Source organism: Homo sapiens, chromosome 18 (assembly GCF_000001405.40).
Source record: "Homo sapiens chromosome 18, GRCh38.p14 Primary Assembly".
NCBI classification, from domain to species: domain Eukaryota; kingdom Metazoa; phylum Chordata; class Mammalia; order Primates; family Hominidae; genus Homo; species Homo sapiens.
The window spans coordinates 1,513,184-1,524,118 of record NC_000018.10 but is presented as its reverse complement, the minus strand read 5'-3'; the positions used below and the strand labels follow the sequence as shown (position 1 = coordinate 1,524,118).

Genomic DNA, 10,935 nt, shown 5'->3' with positions numbered 1-10,935 from the left:
AAAAAATGCTTAAAACTGACAGTTCTTTTTATTATGTTCTCCCCAGCAACAACTTCACAAAAGTACTTGTGCCTGATACAGCTGTCCCCCAAGATTCTGTTTCACTCAAATCTATTAATTAGTTCATTCAATAATTATTTTCTAAATGCTTGCTAGGTGCTGCTGGTCGGTATCAGGTGCCTACCCCCAACCCAACATATGGCTGTGTCCTTAAAGTGCCCAGTGATGATGTAGAAAACTCTGACTTCCCAATCTGACTGATAGAAGGTTTGAATATGTTATTAATCTTGTTGTAAAAATCTCATGATGTTTTTGAAATGTCAGTTTGGCTAGGATAGAGTTCCCAGTTAGTCAATGGAATATTTGCCTGAGTGGGCGTGCTGTGAAGGGATGTTGCAGATGTAGGAGTCCCTAGTCAGTTGACTCTAAGCAAGGGAGATTATCTGGATCTCCTCTGGATGGGCCTAACTTAATCAGTTGGAAGTCTTGAAAAGCTGAGGTTTCCCTAACAGAAAAAATTCCACTGTGGCTTTTGTCCGTTGGCCAAATAAATGTTACATGTTGTTCTGCAACTTCTTTCAATCAAAATAATATTTTGTGAAAATGCATGCATATTGATATAGATAATTTTAGTTTAATTTTATCCTTTTGATGTTCTCCCATTATATGCACATATCACAAATAATTTACTCTCCTGTGTACAGACATTTATGTTTTTTCAATAATATCGCCTTCACATAAAAAGCTGCCATTCTTATGCATATCTCCACATGAGCTATCTCTATCTATTCCATTCTTATGCATATCGCCACACAAACATGTGCAAGAGATGCTTTAAAGTACACATCTAGCGGTAGAAACAGAGTACCATGTGGTGAAAGTTTCTGCAGCCTTACCAGCTATCACCAGGACACTCTACAAGATTATTCACAAGTTTAAAGTACCACCAGCAGCGTACAAGTGGTACCCTTATTCCAGACCCTCAACCATACAGCATTTTCAGGCCTTGTCATCTTGTTCAAGTTGATGGGCCTGAAATAAAATCTCATTTTCATTTTCTTTCTTTCCAATGGAGTTGAACATCTTATTTTTATTAGATATTTGGTTTTCTTCTTCTGCCAACTACCTGCTCATTTCCTTTCTATGCTTATCTATTGAGTATTTTGTACTTTTCTTACTGATTTTAAAAATTCTTAATATATTCTGAATAATTTATTTTCAATTATGATAACTTGATATATTTGCTTCTGAATCTCAACATTTTTTCTACGTGTTAAAAGTAATATTTTTGTAGACATTTCTAATTTTAATGTATTCAAAATTATCACTGGAATTTTTTACAGTTTGCTGCTTGATGCCTACTCAGCCTGGTCCTCTAGGTTCCCACCAGTGCTGTGATCCCTACATGTCATTTCAATTTCAACACATGTCTGTTGGTTACAATTGGCCAGAGACATTCTCTGCTGCTTTCAAACTAACTGATGTAACCTTAAAATCATATTATGACTTTATCTAAATGGAAACTAAATTTTAGGCAGGAAGATCAATGCACAATAACACAAAATGTCTTGTTCCCTGAGCAAATTTCTTATCACCTCTTGAAAATTTGAGATCAGATAGTAGACATAACACATGGGTGAGGCTCACAGTGTATTTATACTTCTGTTTTATATAAGCTCATACACAACCATAAAAGACATCCATGTGCATACAGAGTATTTGAAAAAAAATCAATTTAGATTGTTAAATGTAGTGTGGAGAGGTTTTCACGTTGCTTCTCATTAACATGGAACTTTCTGCAAGTTTCTGTGCACCCCTGCCTTTTGTAAAGTTGACTTTAACTAAGGAAACCAGGTATGATTAAAAGAGAATAGGATAGAGGGAGGAGCCAAGATGGCCGAATAGGAACAGCTCCGGTCTACAGCTCCCAGCCTGAGCGACGCAGAAGACGGTGATTTCTGCATTTCCATCTGAGGTACGGGGTTCATCTCACTAGGGAGTGCCAGACAGTGGGGGCAGGTCAGTGGGTGCGCGCACCGTGCGCGAGCCAAAGCAGGGCAAGGCATTGCCCCACTTGGGAAGCGCAAGGGATCAGGGAGTTCCGTTTCCAAGTCAAAGAAAGGGGTGATGGACGGCACCTGGAAAATCGGGTCACTCCCACCCGAATACTGCGCTTTTCCGACAGGCTTAAAAAACAGCCCACCACGAGATTATATCCCGCACCTGGCTTAGAGGGTCCTACGCCCACGGAGTCTCGCTGATTGCTAGCACAGCAGTCTGAGATCAAACTGCAAGGCGGCAGCCAGGCTTGGGGAGGGGCGCCCGCCATTGCCCAGGCTTGATTAGGTAAACAAAGCAGCCGGGAAGCTCCAACTGGGCGGAGCCCACCACAGCTCAAGGAGGCCTGCCTGCCTCGGTAGGCTCCACCTCTGGGGGCAGGGCACAGACAAACAAAAAGACAGCAGTAACCTCTGCAGACTTAAATGTCCCTGTCTGACAGCTTTGAAGAGAGCAGTGGTTCTCCCAGCACGCAGCTGGAGATCTGAGAACCGGCAGACTGCCTCCTCAAGTGGGTCCCTGACCACTGACCCCTGAGCAGCCTAACTGGGAGGCACCCCCCCCCAGCAGGGGCACACTGACACCTCACAAAGGTCAGTGTGAATAACAGGCAGGGTATTCAAACAGACCTGCAGCTGAGGGTCCTCTCTGTTTGTTAGAAGGAAAACTAACAAACAGAAAGGACATCCACACCAAAAACCCATCTGTACATCACCATCATCAAAGACCAAAAGTAGATAAAACCACAAAGATGGGGAAAAAACAGAACAGAAAAACTGGAAACTCTAAAAAGCAGAGCGCCTCTCCTCCTCCAAAGGAACACAGTTCCTCACCAGCAACGGAAAAAAGCTGGATGGAGAATGACTTTGACAAGCTGAGAGAAGAAGGCTTCAGACGATCAAATTACTCTGAGCTACAGGAGGACATTCAAACCAAAGGCAAAGAAGTTGAAAACTTTGAAAAAAATTTAGAAGAATGTATAACTAGAATAACCAATACAGAGAAGTGCTTAAAGGAGCTGATGGAGCTGAAAACCAAGGCTCGAGAACTACGTGAAGAATGCAGAAGCCTCAGGAGCCGATGCGATCAACTGGAAGAAAGGGTATCAGCAATGGAAGATGAAATGAATGAAATGAAGTGAGAAGGGAAGTTTAGAGAAAAAAGAATAAAAAGAAATGAGCAAAGCCTCCAAGAAATATGGGACTATGTGAAAAGACCAAATCTACGTCTGATTGGTGAACCTGAAAGTGATGGGGAGAATGGAACCAAGTTGGAAAACACTCTGCAGGATATTATCCAGGAGAACTTCCCCAATCTAGCAAGGCAGGCCAACGTTCAGATTCAGGAAATACAGAGAACGCCACAAAGATACTCCTCGAGAAGAGCAACTCCAAGACACATAATTGTCCGATTCACCAAAGTTGAAATGAAGGAAAAAATGTTAAGGGCAGCCAGAGAGAAAGGTCGGGTTACCCTCAAAGGGAAGCCCATCAGACTAACAGCGGATCTCTCGGCACAAACCCTACAAGCCAGAAGAGAGTGGGGGCCAATATTCAACATTCTTAAAGAAAAGAATTTTCAACCCAGAATTTCATATCCAGCCAAACTAAGCTTCATAAGTGAAGGAGAAATAAAATACTTTACAGACAAGCAAATGCTGAGAGATTTTGTCACCACCAGGCCTGCCCTAAAAGAGCTCCTGAAGGAAGCACTAAACATGGAAAGGAACAACCGGTACCAGCCGCTGCAAAATCATGCCAAAATGTAAAGATTATCAAGACTAGGAAGAAACTGCATCAACTAACGAGCAAAATAACCAGCTAACATCATAATGACAGGATCAAATTCACACATAACAATATTAACTTTAAACGTAAATAGACTACATGCTCCAATTAAAAGACACAGACTGGCAAATTGGATAAAGAGTCAAGACCCATCAGTGTGCTGTATTCAGGAAACCCATCTCACGTGCAGAGACACACATAGGCTCAAAATAAAAGGATGGAGGAAGATCTACCAAGCAAATGGAAAACAAAAAAAGGCAGGGGTTGCAATACTAGTCTCTGATAAAACAGACTTTAAACCAACAAAGATCAAAAGAGACAAAGAAGGCCATTACATAATGGTAAAGGGATCAATTCAACAAGAAGAGCTAACTATCCTAAATATATATGCACCCAATACAGGAGCACCAAGATTCATAAAGCAAGTCCTGAGTGACCTACAAAGAGACTTAGACTCCCACACATTAATAATGGGAGACTTTAACACCCCACTGTCAACATTAGACAGATCAACGAGATAGAAAGTCAACAAGGATACCCAGGAATTGAACTCAGCTCTGCACCAAGCGGACCTAATAGACATCTACAGAACTCTCCACCCCAAATCAACAGAATATACATTTTTTTCAGCACCACACCACACCTATTCCAAAACCGACCACATACTTGGAAGTAAAGCTCTCCTCAGCAAATGTAAAAGAACAGAAATTATAACAAACTATCTCTCAGACCACAGTGCAATCAAACTAGAACTCAGGATTAAGAATCTCACTCAAAACCGCTCAACTACATGGAAACTGAACAACCTGCTCCTGAATGACTACTGGGTACATAACGAAATGAAGGCAGAAATAAAGATGTTCTTTGAAACCAACGAGAACAAAGACACAACATACCAGAATCTCTGGGACACATTCAAAGCAGTGTGTAGAGGGAAATTTATAGCACTAAATGCCCACAAGAGAAAGCAGGAAAGATCCAAAATTGACACCCTAACATCACAATTAAAAGAACTAGAAAAGCAAGAGCAAACACATTCAAAAGCTAGCAGAAGGGAAGAAATAACTAAAATCAGAGCAGAACTGAAGGAAATAGAGACACAAAAAACCCTTCAAAAAATTAATGAATCCAGGAGCTGGTTTTTTGAAAGGATCAACAAAATTTATAGACCGCTAGCAAGACTAATAAAGAAAAAAAGGGAGAAGAATCAAATAGACGCAATAAAAAATGATAAAGGGGATATCACCACCGATCCCACAGAAATACAAACTACCATCAGAGAATACTACAAACACCTCGACGCAAATCAACTAGAAAATCTAGAAGAAATGGATAAATTCCTTGACATATACACTCTCCCAAGACTAAACCAGGAAGAAGTTGAATCTCTGAATAGACCAATAACAGGATCTGAAATTGTGGCAATAATCAATAGCTTACCAACCAAAAAGAGTCGGACCAGATGGATTCACAGCTGAATTCTACCAGAGGTACAAGGAGGAACTGGTACCATTCCTTCTGAAACTATTCCAATCAATAGAAAAAGAGGGAATCCTCCCTAACTCATTTTATGAGGCCAGCATCATTCTGATACCAAAGCCAGGCAGAGACACAACAAAAAAAGAGAATTTTAGACCAATATCCTTGATGAACATTGATGCAAAAATCCTCAATAAAATACTGGCAAAACGAATCCAGCAGCACATCAAAAAGCTTATCCACCATGATCAAGTGGGCTTCATCCCTGGGATGCAAGGCTGGTTCAATATATGCAAATCAATAAATGTAATCCAGCATATAAACAGAGCCAAAGACAAAAACCACATTATTATCTCAATAGATGCAGAAAAAGCCTTTGACAAAATTCAACAACTCTTCATGCTAAAAACTCTCAATAAATTAGGTATTGATGGGATGTATTTCAAAATAATAAGAGCTATCTATGACAAACCCACAGCCAATATCATACTGAATGGGCAAAAACTGGAAGCATTCTCTTTGAAAACTGGCACAAGACAGGGATGCCCTCTCTCACCACTCCTATTCAACATAGTGTTGGAAGTTCTGGCCAGGGCAATCAGGCAGGAGAAGGAAATAAAGGGTATTCAATTAGGACAAGAGGAAGTCAAATTGTCCCTGTTGGCAGATGACATGATTGTATATCTAGAAAACCCCATTGTCTCAGCCCAAAATCTCCTTAAGCTGATAAGCAACTTCAGCAAAGTCTCAGGATACAAAATCAATGTACAAAAATCACAAGCATTCTTATACACCAGCAACAGACAAACAGAGAGCCAAATCATGAGTGAATTCCCATTCACAATTGCTTCAAAGAGAATAAAATACCTAGGAATCCAACTTACAAGGGATGTGAAGGACCTCTTCAAGGAGAACTACATACCACCGCTCAAGGAAATAAAAGAGGATACAAACAAATGGAAGAACATTCCATGCTCATGGGTAGGAAGAATCAATACCGTGAAAATGGCCATACTGCCCAAGGTAATTTACAGATTCAATGCCATCCCCATCAAGCTACCAATGACTTTCTTCACAGAATTGGAAAAAACCACTTTAAAGTTCATATGGAACCAAAAAAGAGCCCTCATCACCAAGTCAATCCTAAGCCAAAAGAACAAAGCTGGAGGCATCACACTACCTGACTTCAAACTATACTACAAGGCTACAGTAACCAAAACAGCATGGTACTGGTACCAAAACAGAGATATAGATCAATGGAACAGAACAGAGCCCTCAGAAATAACGCCGCATATCTACAACTATCTGATCTTTGACAAACCTGAGAAAAACAAGCAATGGGGAAAGGATTCCCTATTTAATAAATGGTGCTGGGAAAACTGGCTAGCCATATGGAGAAAGCTGAAACTGGATCCCTTCCTTACACCTTATACAAAAATCAATTCAAGATGGATTAAAGACTTAAACGTTAGACCTAAAACCATGAAAACCCTAGAAGAAAACCTAGGCATTACCATTCAGGACATAGGCATGGGCAAGGACTTCATGTCTAAAACACCAAAAGCAATGGCAACAAAAGACAAAATTGACAAATGGGATCTAATTAAACTAAAGAGCTTCTGCACAGCAAAAGAAACTACCATCAGAGTGAACAGGTAACCTACAAAATGGGAGAAAATTTTCACAACCTACTCATCTGACAAAGGGCTAATATCCAGAATCTACAATGAACTCAAACAAATTTACAAGAAAAAAACAAACAACCCCATCAAAAAGTGGGCGGACATGAACAGACACTTCTCAAAAGAAGACATTTATGCAGCCAAAAAACACATGAAAAAATGCTCATCATCACTGGCATCACTGGCCATCAGAGAAATGCAAATCAAAACCACAATGAGATACCATCTCACACCAGTTAGAATGGCAATCATTAAAAAGTCAGGAAACAACAGGTGCTGGAGAGGATGTGGAGAAATAGGAACACTTTGACACTGTTGGTGGGACTGTAAACTAGTTCAACCATTGTGGAAGTCAGTGTGGCGATTCCTCAGGGATCTAGAACTGGAAATACCATTTGACCCAGCCATCCCATTACTGGGTATATACCCAAAAGACTAGAAATCATGCTGCTATAAAGACACATGCACACGTATGTTTATTGCGGCATTATTCACAATAGCAAAGACTTGGAACCAACCCAAATGTCCAACAATGATAGACTGGATTAAGAAAATGTGGCACATATACACCATGGAATATTATGCAGCCATAAAAAATGATGAGTTCATGTCCTTTGTAGGGACATGGATGAAATTGGAAAACATCATTCTCAGTAAACTATCGCAAGAACAAAAAACCAAATACCGCATATTCTTACTCATAGGTGGGAATTGAACAATGAGATCACATGGACGCAGGAAGGGGAATATCACACTCTGGGGACTGTTGTGGGGTGGGGGGAGGGGGGAGGGATAGCATTGGGAGATATACCTAATGCTAGATGATGAGTTAGTGGGTGCAGTGCACCAGCATGGCACATGTATACATATGTAACTAACCTGCACAATGTGCACATGTACCCTAAAACTTAAACAAAAAAAAAGAGAATAGAATATAATAAAAAATTCCAGTTATGATTTTCAAGTCATCCTCAAAATTAGACAAACTAAAATCACTTGCAAAATGATTAGAATAAACATAGGAATGTAAAAATCTCAGAGGCTCATGAGAACTAGGATGTTTCATATCCACTAGGATTTGCCCTTAGTCATCCAGCATTAAAAATAATGGCTATTCTTGGAATCTCTCAAAGGTCAAGAGATGAAACCAAAACATTTTTCTGAGACAGCTAGAAAACACTAAGGAGGTATGACCCATCAATTTAAAGTTCCATCTTACTGAAAAGTTCATCAGGAAAATTACAGAAAAATTAGACAAGATATTTAAATAGTTTTGCTCACAATCTTGAGATATATATATATATATATATATATATATATATACATATATATATACATATATATATATATATATATATATATACATATATATATATATATACACACATATATATACATATATAAAACCTTGAGATATATATATATATTTCTAAGTGATACTGAAGATTTTCTTTTTTCCTGTCCCAATATCAATCAGTGCCATAACTAATTCCATGAAACTGAATTTCTGTGATCTCAACTTCAAGACATGTATTTAGCATCTATACACCGATCAATGAATATATTAGTCATGTGTGTGAGTGTGTGTGTGTATGTGTGTGTGTGTGTTTGTGTATGAAAATATTTGTTTAGCCATGACCCAAATTCAGGATACAATATAATATAACAAGAAATCCCAAGATATAGGATTACCATTTGGCCTTTTCACTCAGTCCTTTTGGAGACTTATTTCTTCTGATCCATGTGCCAAAAAGTTCCGATAAAATTAATGATTTGAAGAAGGAAGTTCAGAAGCAGAGAAGTAGAAACCAACCAAACCATGGCCTAAGGCTTAGTTTGCCAAAGCTCAAGCTGAGATGTAGTCTTGGGCATGTTATTACTAGCACAATTGCCTCTTTCTTTGCCTAGTGGCCTTATTGTACTTGTTTGGATTTACAATTGAAAGGAACCCTAAATGCCAAGCCAGAAGTCAAGAGGAATAACTGTTAAATTAAAGACAAATTTGAGTGAGTTAGGAAAAACATGTGAATCTTCATTAAGCAGATTTTGGGAGTCATTGACATCTACTGCTGTTTAATGGCTGGGGAGGGAGCAGTAACTTCCACACCTTCCACACCTGGATCATGAGTTGCCTAAATTATCAAAGGCCTCCTTTGTTCACTCATTCATTCTCTGAGCAAACAGGCATTTTACCTCTACTGTATGGTAGCTCTGACATACAGTAGAAAGAGACACAGCACAGACTATACCCTCAAAGAGCAATACAGTTTAGTGAAGAGCATCAACAAGCAGTAAGAACACTCTGGCAGAAGAGGGACAACCATTCCAAGGAAAGGTTTGAAGAAGAGGGAAAAGTAGAAGTTACTAAGCAAGAGAAGGTGTGAGTGGGGAGGAGACCCGTAGAGTCAAAAGAAGAAGGAGCAAGAGGCATAAAAGCAGGGAAGCTGAAGAAAGCGTGGAACATTTGGAGAAAGCAAGTGGTTCAGTGTGGCTGGAGCTCAGGCTCTGCAGGTGGGAATATTCAAAGACGAAATGTAGCCAGGATCCAGGAGTCAGAGAAGGAAAGTCCAGAGTCTAGGGTAAATGTCGACACAGAAGTTTATCATCACAATAAAGAGATGAGATGGAAGCAGAGCCAGAAATTATGGAACTCAAAGAAGGTCTTGTCTTTAATTTTGAATTATTTTCTTCCCTTAAAGTGAAGGAAGAATAATCTGAGCTTGAAATAAAGACTTAGAATATAGATCACCGCCTGCAACCTTCTCACTCAAAATTAGAAGACATTACTGGATAGTTTCAAGGGAAGTTATTAACTTGAGAAAAACCCAGAAATAAGGTAAGGCCAATGATAGGGTTTGAATCTGTGTCCCCACCCAAATCTCATGTCGAAATGTAATCCCCAATGCTGGAGGTGGGGGCTGGTGGGAAGTGATTGGATCATGGGGGTGGTTTCCAATGCTTTAGCACCATTCCCCTAGTGCTGGTCTTGTGATAGAGTTTTCGCAAGTTCTGGTTGTTTACAAGTATGTAACAACGTTCCCCTCTCTTTCTTCCTCCTTCTCCAGCCATGGAAGATGTGCCTGCTTCCCCTTCACCTTCCACTACGATTGAAAATTTCCTGAGACCTCCTCAGAAGCCGAGCAGGTGCCAGCTTCATGCTTCCTTTACAGCCTGTGGAAGCGTGAGCCAATTAAACCTCTTCTCTTTATAAATTACCCAGTCTCATGTATTTCTTTATAGCAATATAAAAACAGACTAATACAGCCAAGATACAGCATTTTGTGTGGAATTTCATAATTAAAGAGAATTTTTTTTTCTTTGTTCCTGCTTTTGGCATAGTTGGACTCTAGAGGGCATAGTGGAAAGAGATGAAACAGAAAATTGGAAGGAATGAGTCATGAAAGGGAAAATACAGAGTGATACAGGAAAGATAAGAAAAGGCTTGCCAGAGTGACAGTTTCCAGAGATGACAGCAGAGATGTTCTGTTCTCACTAGCCCCATCATTTAGAGTGACGTTCTCTACACATTACATGGGGATTGTAAGAATCTGGCTGGACCCCTGACAGTCAGGGCAGGCATTCCATAGAGTGACCTCTGATAACTGACAACATCCATGGGGTAGAGCCATTTCTTTATATGTGAGGGTCATGAGGTACCATATATTCCAGGGATCAAGGATCAACATCAACTTTCATTATCACTGAAAACTCACCAACCTTCCTTGGATTCATTTGTACTTTCCTATAACACCTTTCCTAAGTGGCTTCTAATCTAATTTGGATAAAACACCATTGGTGTTTTTAATACTTATTTGGTTGTCTGGATGTGTTTTGTTTGTGTATGTCTGAAGTAACTAATCCAAAAGGAAGAGTCTTTCTCTTGTTGCTCTCATTTGGTTTTCATTTTCTTGATAGTGTTCCTTTGCATA

The 10,935-nt window shown here is 39.7% G+C and overlaps 1 long non-coding RNA gene across 1 annotated transcript; it reads left to right on the top strand.

The window, feature by feature from the left end:
• Nucleotides 1-1,868: 1,868 nt before the first annotated feature.
• LOC105371960 (uncharacterized) lies at nt 1,869-10,221 on the top strand. Its single transcript, XR_935094.2, has 3 exons — nt 1,869-1,975; nt 9,706-9,842; nt 10,072-10,221. It is a non-coding gene; the product is annotated as an uncharacterized LOC105371960 (long non-coding RNA).
• Nucleotides 10,222-10,935: the final 714 nt, after the last annotated feature.